General features: G+C 52.6%; 1 protein-coding gene across 16 annotated transcripts, besides 4 other annotated features; it reads right to left on the minus strand.

Moving 5' to 3' along the window:
• On the minus strand, positions 1,446–18,020 carry ZBP1 (Z-DNA binding protein 1). Of its 16 annotated transcripts, none has more exons than XR_007067477.1 (9): positions 17,856–18,020; positions 13,838–14,062; positions 13,106–13,174; positions 12,481–12,654; positions 10,757–10,921; positions 9,321–9,524; positions 7,743–7,961; positions 4,407–4,894; positions 3,007–3,095 (listed from the first exon to the last, which is right to left on the minus strand). XR_007067477.1 is itself a non-coding variant. In NM_001160417.2 (8 exons), exons 1-8 carry the CDS (start codon positions 17,887–17,889, stop codon positions 2,167–2,169), a joined length of 1,287 nt encoding a protein of 428 aa, NP_001153889.1. In that variant the 5' UTR covers positions 17,890–18,020; the 3' UTR covers positions 1,446–2,166. The 16 variants fall into 16 exon arrangements, 9 of the variants coding, with proteins under 9 accessions (NP_001153889.1, NP_110403.2, XP_047296481.1 ...); XR_007067479.1 differs by having other exon boundaries at positions 9,486–9,524; positions 10,757–10,924; XR_001754408.2 differs by having other exon boundaries at positions 10,757–10,924.
• Positions 15,573–16,432: an enhancer, noted in NCBI's record as "H3K4me1 hESC enhancer chr20:56193035-56193894 (GRCh37/hg19 assembly coordinates)". NCBI's record gives its function as "activates a minimal SCP1, AML or CMV promoter by ChIP-STARR-seq in primed H9 embryonic stem cells {active_cell/tissue: H9 hESC(primed)}" and the evidence as "EXISTENCE:reporter gene assay evidence [ECO:0000049][PMID:30033119]".
• Positions 16,610–16,719: an enhancer, noted in NCBI's record as "active region_18165". NCBI's record gives its function as "activates an Ori minimal core promoter by ATAC-STARR-seq in GM12878 lymphoblastoid cells {active_cell/tissue: GM12878}" and the evidence as "EXISTENCE:reporter gene assay evidence [ECO:0000049][PMID:35858748]".
• Positions 17,800–17,849: an enhancer, noted in NCBI's record as "active region_18166". NCBI's record gives its function as "activates an Ori minimal core promoter by ATAC-STARR-seq in GM12878 lymphoblastoid cells {active_cell/tissue: GM12878}" and the evidence as "EXISTENCE:reporter gene assay evidence [ECO:0000049][PMID:35858748]".
• Positions 17,980–18,269: an enhancer, noted in NCBI's record as "active region_18167". NCBI's record gives its function as "activates an Ori minimal core promoter by ATAC-STARR-seq in GM12878 lymphoblastoid cells {active_cell/tissue: GM12878}" and the evidence as "EXISTENCE:reporter gene assay evidence [ECO:0000049][PMID:35858748]".

Below are 21,585 nucleotides of genomic sequence, written 5' to 3' on the forward strand. Positions count from 1 at the left end.
CAAAGCATCCACCCTAAAGATCCTCCCAGTCGAGTTGGGCAAGGAGATATGAATTTGTTCAATAACTGTTTTTACTGAGGCCCTGTGATGAGCCAGCCCCTCCCCGCCAAGGTAGACATTAGCCCCAGGGGCATCAGCTTTTGGGTGTCAGATGCCAAGGCCAGTGAAGGAGACAGAGTGGAGTGTGACAAACGCCCACCTGAGGACTGGGTGTGGCATTGGAGTTGGGGGCAGCAGAGTGCCTGTGTGTGTGCATGTGTGTGTGTACACCTGTGTGTGCATGTGTGTGTGCCTATGTGCACACTGAAGGACGGACACAGTCCTTGTTCCACAATCACCCTGCCCAGCTGATCACCACCTCCCTCTATCCCTCTCCATCTTCCTCCCACCATGCCCCACCAAATCCCTCCACTACCCACCCCACCCCATGGTTCAAGAAATGTTGCAGAGCCCATAGCCCTTCTACGGGAACTTAGCCCCTAGCGGGGTGGTGGGGTCTGGTAAATAACAAGCTGACATGGTTTTGCTGTGTCCCCACCCAAATCTCATCTTGAATTGTAGCTCCCATAATTCCCATGTGTTGTGGGAGAGACTCAGCAGGAGATAATTGAATCATGGGGATGGTTCCCCCATACTGTTCTCCTGGTAGTGAAGTAAGTCTTATGAGATCTGATGGCTCCATAAGGGAAGCCACTTTCCCTTGGCTCTCATTCTCTCTCTTGCCTGCTGCCATGTAAGACGTGCCTTTCGCCTTCCACCGTGATTGTGAGGCCTCCCCAGCCACGTGGAAGTGTGAGTCCGTTAAACTTCTTTTTGCCTATAAATTACCCCGTCTTGGGTATATCTTTATCGGCAGCGTGAAAATGGGCTAATCCACAAGCACTCCCTGCTGATTGGCCAGAAGAGGTCACCTGACCCATGGGTCAGCCAATGACTTCCACCAGGGCCTGGGGACCCAGGGTCGGGGTGGGAAAGAATTTTCTCTTTGGGAGTCCAGCTAAAAGATCCTGAGAGATCAAGGCTGAGGAGAGAAGATTCTAGAAAGGTCGGGTGATAAGGAGGTCAGGTGGCCACAATGGGCCTTGAGGAAGTGAGACCTCAGGTGAGGAGAGAGTGGGGCAGTGTTTCAGTTGGCTCAGGCTGCTATAAAAAAATGCCTCACCCTGGGTAATTTATAAGCAACAGGAATTTATTGCTTACAGTTTCGGGGTCTGGGAAGGCCAAGATCAAGGTGCCAGCAGAGTCAGTGTCTGATGAGGGGTTGGTCTCGGCTTTAAGGATGGCACTTTGTTACTGCATCCTCACATGGCGGACAGGCAAGCGGGACTAACAGGCTCCCTCAAGCCCTTTCATGGCAGCGCTAATCCCACAATCCCACTCGCCCTCCTGACTCCATCCCCTCCAAAAGGCCCCATCTCTTCATACCACTGCACTGGGGATTATGGTTGGTTTATTTTTTATTTATGTATTTATTTTTTTGAGACGGAGTCTCGCTCTGTCGCCCAGCCTGGAGTGCAGTGGCGCGATCTCGGCTCACTGGAAGCTCCACCTCCCGGGTTCACACCATTCTCCTCCCTCAGCCTCCGGAGTAGCTGGGACTCCAGGTGCCCGCCACAACGCCCGGCTAATTTTTTGTATTTTTTTTTTTAGTAGAGACGGGGTTTCACCATGTTAGCCAGGACGGTCTGGATTTCCTGACCTATTGATCCGCCCGCCTCGGCCTCCCAAAGTGCTGGGATTACAGGCGTGAGCCACTGCACCCAGTTGGGATTATGTTTTGATATGAATTTTGTTGGGACTCAAACATTCAAACCACAGCAGGTAGCCATGATGGAAGGTAACTCCAGGCAGATGCCCCGAGCCCAGGAAAGAGTGGAGAGAGTCCCCTGGGCCTGGGGGACCGAGCCCCACTCCCATCTACCCACCTCCTCTTGGCACACCAAAGGTTCCCCAAGGCAACTCCCTGTCATCTACTCCTGGCCATCAAAAGACCTGGCCTGAACCCATCCCCATGCCAGGTCCATTCCCCCAAAACTGATTCATGCAGGTTATGTCTGGAAGCAAGCAGGTCAAACAAGACGCTAAGGAATGCAGAGAGCAGCAGGCTAGTCTCCCTAGCATGCGCCCACCCCCAGCCTGTGTCCAAGCCCCACGTGAGGCTGTGCACTAAATCCCACCTCCCCACCAGCTCCCCTCGTGTGAGGCTTCATCCACATAGTGGCTGCCTTCTGCAGCTTTGTGACTCCTGTTTCCAAGAGTCATAGTTTCCAGCTTGGGGGTGAGCTTCGAGTGGCTGGGAGTGATGGGCTGACCAATGTCTCGAGGAAAGTGACTTCTGGATTGTGTGTCTGCGGGACGACGACCTAGGGAAGAGAAGATGGGGGATCAGCTTCATGGGCACGTGGCCTGGGCATTTCCACAGGGACCCGCTCTTGGAAGGATTTCGAGCTCAGCTTGAGCCTTTGTTGTTACTGTCTTTAGATTTGTACAAAGTCTTGAACAGGGAGCCCCACCTTTTCACTTTGCACTGGGCCCCCAGATCATGTAGCCAGTCCTGTCCTAGTTTCACAGCAGTGAGATGGAGGAGCAGAAATAACACCAGAAAGCCCCCATCCCAGGGCTCTCCCAGTCCTCCCAGGGACCCCAAAAGACGGCTCTACATGCTCTGGCACTGACAGTCTCTGATTAGCAATTTCCTCAAACAAAACAAAACAAAACAAAACAAAACAAAACAAAAACCATTCCAGGCCTTACACATCTCAGGATAAGGTCCCGCCCGCCACTCAAGGAGGAAGTGACAGGCAGACCTCATTTTATCTCACTTTACCTTATTGTACTTTGGTTTATTACACTTCATAGATATTGCACTCATTTTTCACAAGTTGAAGGTTTGTGGCACCCTGTGTGAAGCGAGTCTATCAGTGCCAATTTTTCCAGCAGCATATGCTCACTTCCTGTCTCTGCGTCACATTTTGGTAATCCTCACAATATTTCACACTTTTTCATTTTGATTATATGTGTTATGGTGATCTGTGACCAGTGATCTTTGATGTTGCTATTATAATTGCTTTGCTTTGGGGTGCCACAAATATCACCTGTAGAAGATGACGAAGTTAATTAATAAATCTGTGTGCTCTAACCTGTCACTGATCAGCCATCTCCTCCTCTCTCTCCCTCTCCTCAGGCCTCCCTATTCCTTGAAGACACAACAATATTGAAATTAGGAAAATTCATAACCCTACAATGGGCCGGGCGCCGTGGGTCACACCTAGAATCCCAACACTTTGGGAGGCTGAGGTGGGCAGATCACCTGAGGTTGGGAGTTCAAGACCAGCCTGACCTACATGGAGAAACCCCATCTCTACTAAAAATACAAAGTTAGCCAGGCGTGGTGGTGCAGGTCTGTAATCACAGCGACCCAGGAGGCTGAAGCAAAAGAATCCCTTGAACCTGGGAGGTGGAGGTTGCAGTGAGCCAAGATTGTGCCATTGCACTCCAGCCTAGACAACGAGAGCAAAACTCCATCTCAAAAATAAATAAATAAATAAATAAATAACCCCAAACGGCCTCTATGTGCTAAAGTGAAAGGAAGAGTTGCACGTCTCTCACTTTAAATCAAAAGTGAGAAATGATTAAGCTTGGTGAGGGAGGCATGTCCAAAGCTAAGACAAGTTGAAAGCTAGGTCAAAAGTTAGCCAAATTGTGAAGGCAAAGGAAAGGGTCTTGAAGGATATTAAAAGTCTTACTTCAGCAAACACATGAGTGATGAGAAAGTGAACCAGCCTTGTGGCTAGTGTGGAGAAAGTTTTAGTGGTCTGGATAGAGGATCGAGCCAGCTACAACAATCTCTTAAACCTAAGCCTCGTCTAGGGCAAGGCCCTTGCTCTATTCAATTCTAAAGGCTGAGAGAGGTGAGGAAGCTGCAGAAGAATAGTTGGAAGTGAGCAGAGGTTGGTTCATGAGGTTTAAGGAAAGAAACCGTCCCCATAACATGCAAGTGTGAGGTGAAGCAGCAAGTGCTGATGGAGAAGCTGCAGCAGGTTACCCGGAAGCTCTAGCTAAGATCATTGATGAGCGTGACTACACAACAGAGCAGGTTCTTAATGTAGATGAAACAGCCTTCTATTGAAAAAAGATGTCATCTAGAACTTTCATAACTCGAAAGGAGATGTCAATGCCTGGCTTCAAAGCTTCAAAGGGGACAGGCTCTCTTGTTGGAGATTAATGTAGCTGGTGACTTTCAGCTGAAGCCTCTCCTCAATTACCATTTTGGAAATTCTAGGGCCCTTAAGAATGATGCTAAATCGACTCTGCCTATGTTCTATGAATGAAGCAACAAAGCTAGATGAGAGCACCTGTATATAGCTTGGTTTACTGAATATTTTAAGCCTAGCATTGAGACTTACTGCTTAGAAAACAAAATATTCCTTTGAACATTTCACTGCTCATCGTCCATACCACAGGATCTGAGTGTTCCGCATCCTGGATTGAGGGCCAAAAAAAAATTTTTTTTTTACTACTCGTTGACAATGCACCTGTTCATCCACGGGCTCTGATGGAGATGTAAAAAAGAATTAACATTGTTTTCATGCCTGCTAGCACAGCATCCATTCTGCAGCCCATGGATTAAGGAGTAACTTCAACATTCACTTCTTATTCTTCAATAAATATATTTTATGAGGGCATAAGTGCAACACAGAGTGATTCCTCAGATGGATCTGGGCAAAGTAAGTTGAAAATCTTCTGGAAAAGATCACCAATCTACATGCCGTTAAGAACATTTGTGATTCATGGGAGGAGGTCAAACTATCAACATTCACAGGAGTCTGGAAGAAGTTGATTCCAAATTTCATGAATGACTTTGAGGGGTTCAAGACTTCAGTGAAGGCAGCAACTGCAAATGTGGTGGAAATAGCAGGAAAACACAAATTAGAAGTGGAATATGAAGATGGGACTGAATTGCTGCAATCTCATGAGAAAGCTTGAACAGATGAGTTGCTTCTTATGGATGAGCAAAGAAAGTGGTTTCTTGAGATGGCATCTATTCCTGGTGAAGATACTGCGAACATTCTTGAAATGACAACAAAGGATTTAGACTGCTATATAAACCTAGTTGGTAAAGCAGCAGCAGGGTTGGGGAGTCTTGGTTCCAATTTTGAAAGAAGTTCTAGTATGAGTAAAATGCCATCAAACAGCATTGCATGCTACAGAGAAAGCTTTCATGAAAGGAAGAGTTCATTGCTGCAGCGAACTTCATTGTTGCCTTATTTTAAGAAATTGCCACAGCTGCCTCCACCTTCAGCAACCACCACCCTGATCAGTCAGCAGCCATCAACATCAAGGCAAGACCTCCACCAGCATAGAGATGATGACTGGCAGAAGACAGGTGATGGTTAGCATTTTTAGCAATAAAGTATTTTAAAATTAAGGTATGTACATTGTTTTTTAGATATAACGTGATTCAGTGCACACCTAATAGACTAGAGCATCGTGTGAATATAACTTGTATATGCACTGGGAAATCAAAAATTTGCATGACTTGCTTTATTGGGGTGTTCTGGAACTCACCCATAATATCTCTGAGCTATGCCTATTGATGTCTCTTGGGGACAAAGAGAGGTGGGTGGGTCAGGGCAAGGGGCAAAGATGTCATCAGCTCTTCTGCTAGAACCTTAGGGAAGAATGTCAGGATGTTGCAGGGCAAATCTGGGAGTGTGACCATTTTTTTTTTTTGAGACAGAGTCTTGCTCTGTCGCCCAGGCTGGAGTGCAGTGGCATGATCTTGGCTCACTGCAAGCTCCGCCTCCCAGGTTTACGCCATTCTCCTGCCTCAGCCTCCTGAGTAGCTGGGACTACATGTGCCCGCCACCATGCCTGGCTAATTTTTTGTATTTTTTAGTAGAGAGAGGGTTTCACCGTGTTAGCCAGGATGGTCTCGATCTCCTGACCTCGTGATCCACCTGCCTCGGCCTCCCAAAGTGCTGGGATTACAGGCATGAGCCACTACACCCAGAAGTGTGGCTATTTTTAAAAAACACAGTGCTGTGTTCTTTCCGGAAAGAGAAGTCTTCAATGGTCTGGCTTGAGACCCACAGGGCTCTGCAGACAGCCTGTGCTGTGGGGTCCTAAGCCGGATCCCCATCTGGTGGCACATGCCCTCCCAAGGGTCCCCAGTGGCCTTGGAGGTCTCAGAGACTCCCTTTGCTGCTGGAAGGAAGTCCATGCTCCCAGATGCTCATGGCCTGAGTCCTGAGGAATGCGCTCCTGGTCCCCGTTCTGCAGGTGTCACATGTGCATGGGGCTCCCAGGGGTCCTGGAGGGAGAGTTTGAAGACACGTGGGGCCAGGGTCTCCTCAGTTGCTGGGACAGCAAGGACACGGCCCTTGGGGTGAGGAGACCCTCTGGACTTCCAGGACATGCATCCCCTGGGCCTTCAGGCACTGGAGGGTGGATGCCGGCCAGTCCTCCAGATTCCGTGAATCCATGTTTTCTACCCATTGGTGGGACTGGGTGTGATTCCTTATTCCAGATCCCAAAAGGGTAGGAGCGGAAATCCGCCTTCTAATTCTTTTTTCACATGGGAGGCAAAAATCTCATCCAGCCCCTCTCCTGCTCAAAGCCCCCCATGGCTTCCAATTGCCTTAGCATCGACTGCAGCCTGGAGCCAGGCCCTGGCTCTGCTCTCCATGCTCAGGTCACCCTCAAACCCCTGTGGGTTCCCACACTGTCATGTCCTCACCTCCAGGCCATTGTCCACACTGTTCCACCCACCAGGTACACCTGCCCTGGCCCTCCCCACCTTGCGTGGACCTGCCCAACTCTCCAGCTGCCCCCACCCGAGGCCCCGAGCTCCCTTCTGCAGAGTTGGAATCCTCAGGCTCTGCAACCAGCCTGTGCAGCTTCCAGGGACCAAACGGTGGCTGGGACGGTGAACCGCACTGGTTTCCCCTCTCCCCTCTTCCTGTTGGCAGTGGAGCCCCCTCCCCTGAGTCTCTGCTGGGCTTAGACTGCCTTGACACAGGCGGCACTTCCCAGACCCCCCGTGGCTAAGTGCAGGCCCTCAGAACAGCACAGATGCAGTGGGTGGGCTTGGTCAAAGACAACAGCGGCTCTCTGTACCCTCTCTCGCCCCTCTGCTTGCTGGTGCTAAGTTCAACCCCACAGATGAGGACGGAGCCCAAGGGACGACTCAGCACTGAGGTAAAAGAAACCCTGGTCTGCTACCCTCACCCGGACATGAGACTTGGGCTTCAAGCAGGCGGGGCCACCGTGTGTGGCATCTCCACTGCAGCAGGTCAGCCTGTGCCCTGATGCAGAACCTTATTTGCATGGCAACCCAGCACCTCTCTCGGGCCCAAAACAATCACCACAACAATGATGAGACAATAACACTCCTATCTCCTGAATGCTGGCAGGGCTGGTGTAGGGCTGAGCTTCGCCTTCAGATTTTACCCCAGTCTTGCAACCACTGTAGGAGTTGCTTCAGGCTATTCTTGCCATCCCACTTTACAGCTAAGGAGACAGAGGCTCCTGGGTGAAATGACTTGGGTGGGTCCCTCCACTAGGGGGACGGAGCCTCCACGCTGACTCTAGAGCTGCTGCTCCTCGCTGTGGGTGGGCACAGCCTCCAGACTCCGGGAAACCAGAGATTAGCGAATGATCGATGAGAGTGAATGAATGAATGAGTGGAAGGTGGGGAGAGAGAGAGAACACACAGGGGTCCACTCTGCCCCCTAGCTCACCTGCGTCCTCCCCTGGCTCCCCCTCTCCAGACCCTGCGACTCCTCCTGGGCCAGCCACCCCTGGGCTGATAGACATTTTGTTGCTGTTGCCGATGGTGGCGTCCTCGAGAAAGCACGATTTCATGTGGATTCTCTGGGCGGCTTCCCCCTCAGGGTGAGTTCCTGGACTGGGAATTCTTGCTTCAAACGAAGCTTCTGGGCCGGCAGCAGTGGCAGAGACTGTGGGTCAAAGGGAGAGAGGCCTGGAGCCAGGAGCAGCTGGACAGTGGCCGGGAACCCTGACCCCCAGCCTGGTTCACCCTCCTCCCCAGATCTCCCACCAGTGGCCCACACCATCCCAGGAGCACAGCCTGTGCCTGCCCGCCACACCTCCACCCGCCACACCTCCGCTCGTGCTGTTGTGCTGTCTGGGAAGCGTCTTTCTGCTCCACTGATCCCGCAGTGGGTCTGCCCCACTGATCCCGCCCGGCTGATCTGGACGTCAGTGTCTTCCTCTGGGATTCAGCTCCTCTCTCCTCTGCTGCCTGCTTCCCACTGCACTGGAACACTGGCCCCCACTTTTGGTTGAAATCTTATGGGGGCTCCCAGCCTGGCCCCAGCTCCTGCCATCTGGCTCTGCCCTTTCCCACCCAAACTTCTGAAGAATCATCCACACTGAGTCCCGCCCCCTCCACCCCCGAGACCTCTTCTGCTCCCTGGCCCCCAGAAACCACCCCCTCAAGGTTACCACGATCCCTCTCGCTGAACCCCACAGATGCTTCCCTGGTCTCACCAGCCTGGCCCCTCTCTGGAGACTCCTTTCCCGGGGCCTCTGCTTTCCTCCTCCCTCTCTGGCTTCTCTGCTGGTTCTTCTCCCCCAGCCCATCTCTGCATTCCCAGTGTGGGGGAGGCCTCTGCCTGGGGCCCTCTGGTCACTGCAGCCACAGCTCCTAGTACGGCACCTGTCTTCCATCCTCCCTAAACACCATTCCAGTCTCAAACCATCACCCTGCTCCAGTTGGCCCAGCCTCTGCTTCTCTGCTCATTTTACAAATGAGGAAACTGAGGTTTCCTGCAGTGGGTCGTAGGGGATGGGGATCCAGAGTGCTAGCTTTATTTTATTCATTTATTTATTGAGATGGAGTCTCACTCTGTCACCCAGACTGGAGTGCAGTGGTGCGATCTCCGTTTACTGCAACCTCTGCCTCCCAGGTTCAAGCAATTCTCCTACCTCAGCCTTCCGAGTGGCTAGGACTACAGGCGCAAGCCACCATGCCCGGTTAATTTTTTTTTTTTTTTTTTTTGTATTTTTGATAGAGACGTTTTACCATATTGGTCAGGCTGGTCTCGAACTCCTGACCTCAGGTGATCCACCCGCTTTGGCTTCCCAAAGTGCTACGATTACAGGTGTGAGCTCCCGCGCCCAGCCTAGAGTGCTAGCTTTAAAAGCCCCACCTGCTCTACTCTGGTTCAGCTGCCTGGTGGAAGGAAAGGAATTTCCCATCATGCTTCTCTTCCCAAAAAGATTCTGGCTCCAGTTCCTTCCAGTGAGGACCCACGGGGTGGCAGAGTTGGGTCTGGCCTCTAGATCCCAGTTACCTGGGGGGCTGCCAGGGGGGATGTGGGCAGGGCCCTCGGACGGGACGCCGTGGAGCCTCATCTCATTGCTGTGTCCCAGCTGCACCCGTCTCAGTATGGACTGCTCCATGTGGATGTCCTGGGGCCCCCAGGGATCAACTAGGGTCCCCCAAGTTGAGGAATCACCTGGTGCCATTGAAGGGAGGTGGCGTGGACCGGCGGAACCTGGCAGGGGACAGTGGCACAGCCTCACCGGAGATTACTGCAGGCTTCTTCCTTTCCCTCACCACCACACGCAGGCCTGTCCTCTGAATTCTTCCTGGACACCATCGAACTGGCGGCCAAAGACTTCAGGCTCTGGCTTAGAGAGCAAGAGGACCTGGCGGAATAGCTCATTTTGGGGCTCCCTGAGTTCTCAGGAGCGGGGCTGGTCCTGGGTGTTGCAGGGACACTCACAAACCCAAACAATGAGCTCCTTGTTCTGATTCCCAGTCACTCCCGAGCCTTCTGACCTCATGGGGACCAAGTCTCGTTTGGTGCCAACACCAAAGGCTCAGAGCCTCCCGCAGTGTTTTAACTGCCAGGGACAACATTTATTTTTATGGTGTTTTTCATGATTTACACTTAAAATAATACTATAAAATTGTTTTAAAATAAATTTTTAAAAAGGTGCACTACTCAACAACATTAATTAAATAATCAGACATGGGTATGGCCAGAATCAGGAAGGTGGGGCTCAGAAGATTAAAGCTAGGGAAACCATGATCTAGATTCTAGAACAAGGTTCCTCATTTCACAACTGAGGCTGACAGTGGGGAAAGGTTCTCCCAAGGTTACAGGGAGTGTCCCGACTTTGGGGCTGATGCTGTCACTCACAGGTGACAAGGCTGGGCTGACAGGTGGCTCTGTCCCCTCTTGCCACAGTGCCCGGCACAGGGTAAGTGCTCAAAGTGCAACACCGCATTTCATCCAAACTAGGATGCCACAGGTGGTGAGATGCACCCCAGTTTCCAGCCTGTTAAAATGTGGGGGAAAGTAGCGTGTCTCAGAACAAATACGGTACTACAATAACCTCCCCTGTAGCATTCCGCGGAGGGAAAGGCAATTGAGTTGTTTCTCATGAAAAACACCGGACCCCATTGAAAATGAGGCATAAGGTCAGGCGCAACACAGAGATACCCCATCTTAATTTTAAAATTTTATTAGAAAAATAAAAATTAAATTAAACTTTAAAATGAGGTAGAAAGTATCAGAGTACAGGGAAATCAGGAGAGCTTTGATCCAGGTGTCCTCATTCTCAGGACGGCCGTAAAGGTGGACTGTGGGGGTCTGGAAGCAACCCTTTCCCCTTGGAGGGCAGAATCCCCCCACTCCCCATCCCTACCCTTTGCCCCCACCCAGAGGATCCGGTGGCTCCCCACCGAGGTCCCCTCCCTGGGCTCTCTTGGGTGACTTACCGTCCTCCCTGGAGACTGTCTGTCTTGTAATGATGTTCCCGTGTCCAATCTGGATGGCTTCGGAGTTTGCAATGGAAATCCAGCTGTTGGGTCCATTCTGGCAGATCATGTTGATTGGATTGTGCTGGTAAATAATTGAGGCTGACTTTGCTCTTCTTCCAGAATCTTCTGCAAAATAATATTCAACTGTATCCCTTTGCCACTGTCTATGGGTCAGGGGTTCCCAATACCAGTCGGCAGCACCAAATTCTCCTGGGGAGCTTGTTAAAATACCCTGGGCGTTCCGAGTCAGTAGGGCCAAGTGGGAGGCCAGAGCTGGGTGTTTAACAGACACCACAGGTACCTCAGAGGGAGCCTCACTTGAAAATAGCCACTGTGAGTCACCCTACCTGTGTCTTTTGCTGCCTCCATGGCTGGGCCGCCATGATTGCTGGCTGGGAGGACCGCAGGGGCCCCACACTGCTCTCCCTAGGGGGCAGCCACAGCCCGGACCCCCGAGCACCTGCACCATTGCCCTTTTCCCTTGAGTAATGGCCGAGAAACAGCAGCCCATTGGGCCAGATCGGTCGTGTTTGGCTCCCATGACATTTTCAATATTTGAATTTGTCACTAGTGTTTAAAATCTGGTGGCTGTCACGCGTTATTCCTTCCTCACAGCAGCCCTAGGATGCTGAGACCCCCTCGGGCACCCGTCATGAGTAGCAGAGTCAGCCCTGCAGAGGTTGAGGCAGGCACCTGCCCAGACTGTGCGGGGCCCATCACCACCCTCCAGGGTCTCAGCTCCTGTGCCTTTGTGGGCCCTTCCCCCATACACAAATATTTAAATTACATTGTATAGCAAGGATAACCCAGGCTGGATTTTTAAATTTTATTTTATTTTATTTTTTGGGGGACAGAGTTTTGCTTTTGTTGCCCAGGCTGGAGTGCAATGGCGCGATCTCAGCTCAGTGCAACCTCTGCCTCCTAGGTTCAAGCTATTCTCTTACCTCAGCCTCCCGAGTAGCTGGGATTACAGGCGCCCACCACCACACCTGGCTAATTTTTGTATTTTTAGTAGAGACGGGGTTTCGCCATGTTGGCCAGACTGGTCACTCCTGACCTCAGGTGATCTGCCCGCCTCAGCCTCCCAAAGTGCTAGGATTACAGGCGTGAGCAACCGTGCCTGGCCCATTTTTAGATATTCATTATTATTGTAGTATTCATTTCCTCTGATTTTAAATGAAATTAAAATTAAAACATTTTCAAGGACCCCTGAGAATGCCATGCACCTATTGGATCTTGGCCCTGTGTGTGTTAGGTCTCACGGGGAAGCTGACCCTGCGCTGACCCTGGGGCTCCAGCCGGTAGGGGTCCAAGACTAGTCTTGCCTTCTCTTCTGCCAACTTTTAAACCCCAACTTGAGCAAAGTGCTCAAAGAAAACCATTCCCAAACTCAGACTGATCCCTGCACCCCAGAGCTGAGAACATTGGGAATGGGCCACCTCCGTCCCATTCACTGGCCTTCTGCAACTGCAGACCTTGGGCCACGCCTCCAAAAAGCTGTCCCTGGTTAATCTTGCCAGCACACCCCTTCCTCCTGGAAGCCCTTGCAGTGAATTGTCGGTAGGACCTCCAGAAGCTTCTAGCAGTTTCCGGTGAGCTGCTCAGCAGAGCACCCAGCAAAGACCAAGCACTAGTGTCATGGTTTCCCTCTGCAGCCCAGACACAGGCAGCCGGGGGCCTACCTGGGCGGTAAATCGTCCATGCTTTGGACTGCTCATCCATGTCCAGAAGGTGCCTGCTCTTCATCCTGTACAAGTCTCGGTTCACATCTTTTGCTGTCCTCATTCCCAGTGCTTGGGCGATGACCAGGGCCCTCTGGGGACCATTGTCTTTGAGAAACCTGTAGATGTCTTCCTCTGGGAGGCAGGATGGCCAGGTGGTTAGGGAGTAGTCCTAGGGTTTGCATCTGCCCCACCGCTTCCTAGCTGTGTGGCCCTGGACCCAGCCCCTCAAGGCCTGGTTTCCTCATCTGTAAAATGGGTGTCATGATAACGGGGTCATCATGACGCACCGCAGAGGTGCCCTGAGGGTGGGGGATGTGCACAGAGTGCTCTGCGCTGGGCCTGGCATGTGGCGGGTGCATGGTGAGGGTCAGCTATTGTCTGACTGGAGAAATCACTGCTCAGCCATTCAGATTCTCCCACTGTGAGGGCTGGGTCTTGGCTCTGAACACTGTATGGGAGCTGCCTGGTGGGTGGGACAGGGCCCCTGAACACTGGTGAGATCTTGTACCCTCAAGGAGGGCCTGGGGTTCCTGGGGAGTGGGATCCTGTGTCCCGGGAACTGAAGGGACATGCAAAAACTTACCCCGTTGTTGGCTGAACTGAGGGCCAGGGGTCTCTGGAATTGTAGCTGCATGTTGCTGGGGCCTCTCGGCTGCAGAAAGAAAGATGGGTCAGAGGGGTGGGGGACAGAAGACAGCACCAGGCCTCCACCCCACAAAGGTGGGCAGCTCCCTAGGGGTAAGTGGCAATGCCGGTAGTTGCAAACTCAGACTCCAGAGTTCAACACACTTGACTTCAAATCCTGCCTGCGCCCTGGCAGCTGCGGCTTCCTGCCGATTAACTTCTCCGGGGCTCAGCCTCCTTTGCCTCCTGGGGTTGTGTGAGGGCTGGGTGAACCCCAAAACAGTGCCTGGCTAATCTTAAGTGCATGATAAATGGCAGCTCCTTCTGGCTGTGGGCTGTAAAGCTAGAAAAGGGGGGCTGGTGGGACTGCATATGTTCTGTGATTGGGACCATGGCGTCATTGCTGTCTCCATCATGATGATTTTCTATTATAATTGTTAGTGTTCTGCAGAGTACCTCCTGTGTGCAGGGCTGGGCTGAGCCTGACGCAGGGCCTCCTCTCAGCAACCCCTACCAAGCAGCCCTGCTGTGAGCTCCATCAACCAGAAAAAGAAACCAAGGCACAGAGAGAGGAAACCTGTGAGCTCCCATGTGGCAGAGTTCAGATTCGAACCCAGGCTCAAATCTGTGCTTGTCCATTGCCAGGATGCTCCCTGCAGGGTCAGACCCGCCTCCCCGGGGTGGCAGTTACCAGGGCTGGACAAGGCCAGCTCTGCAGGACCCTCGCCTTCAGGATCAGTCCCGCCCAAGCACCAGGTGGCAGGGGATGTGAGGGAGACTTTCAACTCCTTTTTCATTCGGTAGAGGACTTGGTTGAGCTCCCTCTTGGGTGCTTGGCATTCCTTCACCAGCTGGGCAAGTTTCACCGGGGAGCCAGCCTCTGTCAGCACCTGCAGGATTCTTTGTTCAAGGTGGCCTGGGGGAGCGAGCGGGGGACAGAGAGGGGAACTGAGTCTCCCAGGTCCCCACAGTTGAGCCCAGGCTGGAGGCTCCAGGAGGCACGTAGGCCCCTTTTTGAGAGGGGTCCAGGGCAGAGGAAAGGGCAAGGACCCCAGCAGATGCCCCCTAAGAGCAGTAGGGCAGCTGCATCTGCCCAGAGGGAGGCATGCAGGCTGATCAGAAACGGCCTTGGCTGCGCAGCCTGGTGGCCAGGGGAGGTGCCACCTCGCCTGTGCCCTCCCCGGGTGTGGGTTCCAGAGGGCAGTGGGGTTCCTCAGCTCTCAGGTGTCCTCAGGGCAGAGGGGAGTAGAGGGCAGAAGGACGGAGCCAGAGGGAGGCAGGGGGACCTGGGAGCGCAAAGGCAAGTCCTGCCTGGGACGCCTGCCTGGGTTTACCTGATGCCCATCGCCATCCTCCCCGGGAGTGCCCTCCTCTCAGCTCACCATCCATCCATGGCGCCACTATCCATCCAAGCCAGAGACCGACCAGACATCAGAAACAGACCTTTCCCCCAGTGCCCAGTCGTGGAGCCCTGGAAATGCCATTCCTGGATTCTCTGGAATCCCCCCACTCCTCTCTTTTCTGCCAGCACCACCCCCTTCCTCTTCACCATCTCCTAGGTACAGTGATAGGCTCCCCGTTGGCCCGCCAGCTCCAGTCAGGTACCCTCCAGATCTGGCTCTGCCAACCACCCAGCTTGGCCTGCACCTGCCCCCAACTTCCCTCCAAGTGCTGGCCTGTCTGTGCTCCCTTCAGCCCCACTCTCCCCAGCCCCTTTGTGCACACTGTTCCTGCTGCCAGGAGCACCCTTCCCTCACGCCCCAACCTGTATGATGTCTACTCAACCTCCAGGCCTCCTCAGATGCCACTTCCTAGGGAAAGCCTGTCTCTGTGTCCCAGAGTGGCTGGGACGCTGCTTGTGTGTGGGTCCCCTGCAGAACTTCCCCTAGTGTCCCCTGCTGTGCTTGCATGGCTCACTGTTGTACCTTCAGCATCTAGCACAGTGCTGGGCACACAGTAGGTGCTCAGGAAATGGCAGTTGAATGTATGAGTGACTGAGTGAATGAATGAATGAATGAATGGGGCCAGGAGTGGTGGCTCACACTTGTAATCCTAGCACATCAGAAGGCTGAGATGGGAGGACCCCTAGAGGCCAGGAGTTCTAGACCAGCCTGGGCAACATAGTGAGACCCCCATCTCTACAAAAAAAGAGAAAAATCAGGTAGGTACGATGGCATATGCCTGTAGTCCCAGCTGCTTAAGAGGCTAAAAGTGGGAGGATCGCTTGAATCTAGGAGGTAGCAGTTGCAGTGAGCTATGAATGCACCACTGCACTCCAGCCTGGACAAGACCCCATCTCTGGAAAAAAAAAAAAAAAGGACTGAATGAGTGAGTGTCTGTCTCTAGGGACAGACGTTTACCCAATAGACCCTGGGCAGGGCCCGGGTAGCTTCTCCTTGGCCAGTTGGCAATGTGCTGCTGTTTCCTGGCCTGAGTTTAATGAGGACTAAGCAGGACCCCAAGAGGTTCAAGGAGGAATTCTCCAAATGGCCCCTGCTCCTCCTGAGGCAGCTCTTAAAAATCAAAACCATTAGCTCACACAATGATTAAAAGATCAAAGCCAGCTGCTCTGCCCAGAGATGAGGCTGGGGCAGACGCAGGTTACGGGCAGCACCTGGCAGCCAGCAGCCTGGGAGAGCCACTGTGGGCGGGGGCCCCACCTGTCACCAGGAAGCTTCTGCTTCAAGGAACCTGAGGGCAGTGCATGGGAGAGCCCTTCTTGGAAAGACCTGAGTTCCCCTTCCAGGACAGTGACTCAGTCCTTTGTCATCTGGGCTTTCTTTCCTGTTCAGAGGATTCTCCAGGTTTGCCCAGGGTTCCTTGGTCACAGCACTTGTAGGGGAGGGAAGAATCAGTTTGTGCCTCACCCTGATGGTTACAACGCTGACCGGCTTGCCGTGTGCAGGTGAAGACCAATTAGAAGACCTGGGAATTCCCACTCCTGCGCCCACCAAACTCCCCCACCGGCAGCCAGCAGCACCTCCATGCACCTGACTTCACACCTGGCTTCACCTTGTCTCGCAGAGTTTTTTGTTTTTTGGTTTTGAGATGGAATTTCGTTCTTGTTGCCTGGTCTGCGGCTGCAGTGGTGTGATCTCGGCTCACTGCAACCTCCACCTCCTGGGTTCAAGCAATTCTCTTGCCTCAGTCTCTCAAGTAGCTGAGATTACAGGCACGCACCACTACACCCGGCTGATTTTTGTATTTTTAGTAGAGACAGGGTTTCCCTTTTTGGCCAGGCTGGTGTCAAACTCCTGACCTTGGGTGATCCCCGCAACTCAGCCTCCCAAAGTGCTGGGATTGCAGGCGTGAGCCACTGCGCCTGGCCGCAGTTTTGATTCTGGAAGGCTGACCTTAGGGAGCCACTGCCTCGGCTCCACACACCCCAGAGGAGATGGGGGTCAGAGGTGTGGATGCAGGACAAGCACTGGCCCTGGGCTGGCCTCGACTGCTGAGTCCCAGGCTACTGTGTCTGAAAATGGGAAATTGTAAAATGGAGCAGGTGTAGGCAACAATTTGGTCACAAAAGGAAAATCAACTGGGGAGGAAGACAAGAAAAGCCAGCGAGGGCTGAGTCCGGAACCTGCGTCAGCACCCGTGAGTCCCCGAAGAGGAAGCTCCACAGGACCTCCGCGGTCAGCCCGGCTCCTGGGCCACACCCTGACATTAGCCCTCCCGGGGCACACTCTGTGTTGGTTTTTTAAAATTCTGATGGCTGATTTCCTGGGTTTGAGCTCCTAGCCCTGCCAACTACTAGCTGTGTGACCTCCCCTCCGGCTTCAGGTTCCTCTTCTGTGAAATGGAGACAGTAATAACTACTTCAAAGATTGTGGTGAGGATTAAAAACAAAACAAACACATCCCCCAAACCGCAAAACCACACTTCACCTACAGTCCACAGCGCTTAGTGGAGACCCTAGAGAACAGCAATTACTCGATACACTATTGGCTTTCATTGCAACTCTTCCAGGAATAAAATGAATGAAATGTTAGTTGAGGAAAGGATGCAACAAGGGGGAACAAAGGCACACATGTATCTCATCAAAGCAAACCGCTTTGTTCTCGATATGACTGTGACATGGGTGTTCAGACGCTAACACCAGCGTTCGCCAGCTGTGTTACCCTGAGAGTGTCATTTCACCTCTCAGGGCCTCAGTTATCTATAAAATGGGAATGACATGGCACTTGTCCCTGCAGGCCATCAGGAAATGCTTGGAAAGCATGTTTCGAGGTGCCTGGGGCACAGTCAGCTGTCAAAGGGGGATGGCTATGCTGTCCCTTTCTATTTTTTTTTTTTTTTTCTGAGATGGAATCTCACTCTGTCACCCAGTCTGGAGTGCAATGGCGACATCTCAGCTCACTACAACTTCCACCTCCCGGGTTCAAGCGATTCTCCAGCCTCAGCATCCCGAGTAGCTGGGATCACAGGCATGCGCCACCATGCCCGGTTAATTTTTGTAATTTTAGTAGAGATGGGGTTTCGCCATGTTGGCCAGGCTAGTGTCAAACTCCTGAGCTTAAACAGTCCACCTACCTCGCCTCCCAAAGTGCTGGGATTACAGGCGTGAGCCACCACGCCCAGCTGGTCTACTATTCTTTAGGATACTGCTATTGTCATCATGATCTGGACCAAGCGAAACAGGAGGAAAGAGAAGTAGAAATCTCACCCCGGGAGCTACCGCTGGTCCTTGGAAGGAAGAAGTACTGTACCTTCTCTGCCCGGGTCAGCAGGAGCCTGGGCCATGCTGACAGCAGCTGCAAGGAGTCGGAGAGACTTGGCAGGTGTGCAGGCTTCTGCACTGTGGCCCTGAGAGGGTGGGCTAGGTCGAGGCTGGGGCTTCTGAAGTGGCCGAGCCTGGTGCTTCTTGCAGCTCTGAACCCACAAGGGGAGGGATGCCAGCTTCCACTGGGCAGGTGTCAGCTGCTTACAGCCCGGAAATAGATGCCTAGCCAGGCCGGCCAGATTCGGTTTCAGGAGAAAAAGAAAATGAAACTTCTCTGTTCGTCTTTTGAAAGAAAAAAAAAGTGGAAGCCAGGTGGATGAGCAAGACAGAGTTGGGGACCTGACTTGATGTTGACAGGGAGGAGCTGTAAACTTGGCAAGACCAGAGCGTCCTCCGAAGAGGCCTTTGAGACAGAGGACTTCCCTCACCTTCCCCGTTCCAGGCACAGCCCACCTGGACCTCTACATTTTTATTTTCTGAATCAGCATCAGAGAACTGAAGAAAATAAAAATAAAAAAAAGAGCATGCACCACGTGGAGGGGGATGCCAGGGCGTGGCATCACTCTGATGATGTGAGGGGCTGGGGCTGGTTATCTGGTTTCTGTGTTTTTGTTTGTTTTTGAGACAGGGTTTCTGTCATCCAGGCTGGAGTGCAGTGGCGTGATCACGGCTCACGGCAGCCTCGACCTTCCGGACTCCAGCGATCCTCCCACCTCTCAGCCTCCCTAGTAGCTGGGACCACAGGCCTAGACCACCATGCCCGGCTAATTTTTGTATTTTCTGTAGAGATGGGGTTTCATCGTGTTGCCCAGGCTGGTCTCAAACTCCTGGGCTCAAGCGATCTGCCTGCCTTGGCCTCCCACAGTGCTGGGATTCCAGCCGCAAGCCCCCACGCCCGGCCCCGCTGGTTCCTGTAGTACTTCCTCCTCGGGGACTCACAGGTGCTACAGAGGCACCGTCCCCAGCTCTCAGTGGCTTTTCTTGTCTTCTTCCAGTTTGTTTCCCTTGCCCACACTAGGGGCAGAACATTTAGGTGCGTGAAGGCCCTGAGATTGTTCTTGTGTGTATCCATGTGAGCCTCTTTAATGAACACCTATTATGCGTTTTCCAATCTCAAGTGCTCCTCCAACCCATCTACAGGGTAGGGGCCAGTTCTGTCTTCTTCTCAGGGGGGAAACTGAGGCTAGAAAGGCAAGATCACTTGTCCAAGGCCACACAGAGTCCATGACAGAGCTTGTCCTGTCCATTCCCCAATTGTGTTTCCTGATCTATAACACCCAGAAGTCACTGGTGAATCACCCTTAGTGCACAGATGGCGTGGAGTTCCCCGCCTCATCATAAAACTTGCTTATTAATTCCAGAGTCAGATGCCTGGGGTCAGCAGCCGAGTGGTTCGGAATGCAAGCCTGGGTCAGCATGCTTGGGTCCAAACCTGGCTCCGCCATTTACCGGCTGTGTGACCTCGGACAAATTATTTAACCCCTCTGTGCCTCAGTTTCCCCATGTGTAAAAGGACTTAATCAAAGGACCTAGCGCATGGGGTCGAGGTGAGGACCTAAGGGGCTGATACAGCCCAGCTGTCGGGCTAGAGCCCCAGAGCCATCCGTAGTCACGGGCACCGTGGTCACCTCACAGGAATGCTTCTGGGAGAGGACCCGTTGCTTACATAATTCTCAAAAGGGCCAGTGACCTCAGAAAAACTCAGAGCCACTGTTCTCTTCCAGATCACAGAAGGAGGAACTGAGGCCCACAGAGGTGAATGCTGTGTACAAGGCCCCCCAGCTTTTGGCAGCCAAGGGGGTTGAGAGCTCAGCCCTGGAAGTCCCTGGACTTGGGGTCTGTGTCTCATCTGCAGAGGGCTGGGAGGGCTAGAGACGTCTGTGCTCCTTGCAGACCCCATTTATGCATAAGGAGCAGCTTAGCGGCAAATACAAATGGAAAGGGGGTCCGGAGGTTTATCCTGAAGCTATCTGTCTTTGCAGAGCGAGCACCTGGAGCCCAGGTCTTCCGCCCTGCCTGCATGTTAAGTGTTTGAAGCAAAAAAAAAGTCTCAATGCCCAGGCCGGCCCAGACTAGTCAACTCCAACCTCTGCGGCTGGGGCCCGAGGGTGAGATTTTTTATGCTCCTGGGTGACTTTTCCTGCTTCCAGGTGGAGAACCAGTAAGTCTGGGGCAAGTCAATAACAGCAAACTGCAGGATGCTTTTATTCTCCTTTTATGTAAAAGCGAAAACTGCAGGTATCACCCTATGAAATAACAATAGTGCTCTTTAAATGGGGGGGTAGGTGGGGTGCTGAGGGAGATGATGAAGGTGCCCTCCGGAAGGGGCTCCGGCTGAGCCCTGCAAGGCTGAGTCCCTTGGGTGTCTGGGGTGCCACGCCCGAACTGGCCACCAGGTGATGCCGCTCACCAACCTGGGCTTGGGCGCACCTTGGCTTCAAGTTCCCTCTGATCTGCAGGGAGGAGCTCCTACCCCAACCCATGGTTGGACTCCAGACTTGATGAATCACAGCTCCAAGACGTGCCCACCCCTCCCACTGCCTTGTCCTGCATCATCCTTTATTCTTCCTGTCTCTTCAGTCACTCATCGTGGTTTCTTCACTCATCTTTCCTGGAAGGAGTCAGATTCCAGCTGTTTCTCTGTGAAGCCTCCAGGCAGTTCTTTGTGCTCTTCCGGCCTGGCCTCCCAGTGTTGGTCTTGACACAGCCCACCACTCCCCCGTGGGGAAACTCTCTCTCCCCCCATCTCCAGGGCCCATGCTAGCTTCTCCCCTTCCTTCCCTGGCCTCTGCAGCTCAGGCCTTGACCCCAGGTCCCTGGTGGGCTTGCAGGTCAGGTTGAGGGATGTTAGCTTGGTCTTGGGTGCCAGCCTTACTTCTAGGAAGATGGCTTCTGCTGCAGGGAGGAGGCTGGTGCCCCTCACGGCTGGTCTCCATCCAGACTGTGCTTGGATGACCCCTTTCTGTCCCCGTGGCCACATCCTGAAGGCACATGGAGCCCCTCTGGGCCTGAGCCATTTTTAGGAGTCTGTAGCAGGGACCACCATGCCAGTGGAGACCAAGCGCCTCGGGAAGTTCCCTGGACAAGGATTCTGTCTTGTCTCTTCTCCAGGGCAGGTTCTCCTTCCCAGCTGTGTGGCGCTACCTCTCTGAGCCGCGGTTTCTTTAACTATAAAGCAGAGATACTAAGAAAAAGCATTTTTGACACTTAGTATGTGCTCACAACATTTGCATAAGTTAGAAAACATGATGCATCTCCACAGTATCTCTTTAGACAGCAAACAAACAAAAGAGAGCAATAGACAAAAAGAAGAAAACATTTCACGTGGGTAGGTTCCACCTTTCTTTGCATTCCATGGCACATCTGGAGATGAAGCCAGGAATCTGCTATGTGCTTGTCACCCACTGAGTGGGAGTCTTACTTTTAAATACTTAGATTGCCTTTATTTCTCTTCTCTATTTAAGAGCTGTTTAAGTTGAGTTTGACCCTAAGGATTATCTTTAAGCCTAAATACCAGTGGCTAAAACAATAGAGTTGTGTCTTTTTCTTGAAAGAGTTGTAGGCATTCCAGGTTTAGTGTGGTGACCTGGGGTCCTTCTACATTGTCGGTCTGCCATTTGTGGCCTTCATTCTCAAGTTTGCCTTACATTTTAGAATGGCTGCTAAGCTCCAGCCATTACATCTGCATTCCTTCCAGCAGGGAGTAGGAAAGGGAA

Source organism: Homo sapiens, chromosome 20 (assembly GCF_000001405.40).
Source record: "Homo sapiens chromosome 20, GRCh38.p14 Primary Assembly".
In the NCBI taxonomy this organism is placed as follows: domain Eukaryota; kingdom Metazoa; phylum Chordata; class Mammalia; order Primates; family Hominidae; genus Homo; species Homo sapiens.

Excerpts from the sequence above, each read along its gene's own strand:
- ZBP1 (NM_030776.3), bottom strand. The coding sequence starts at position 17,889 with ATGGCCCAGGCTCCTGCTGACCCGGGCAGAGAAG. Across the intron at positions 13,175-13,837 it reads GCTGGCCTTGTCCAGCCCTG|CCGAGAGGCCCCAGCAACAT; the intron begins GTAACTGCCACC and ends TTCTTTCTGCAG. Across the intron at positions 9,525-10,756 it reads GACAGTCTCCAGGGAGGACG|GTTCCGCCGGTCCACGCCAC; the intron begins GTAAGTCACCCA and ends GTCCCCTGCCAG.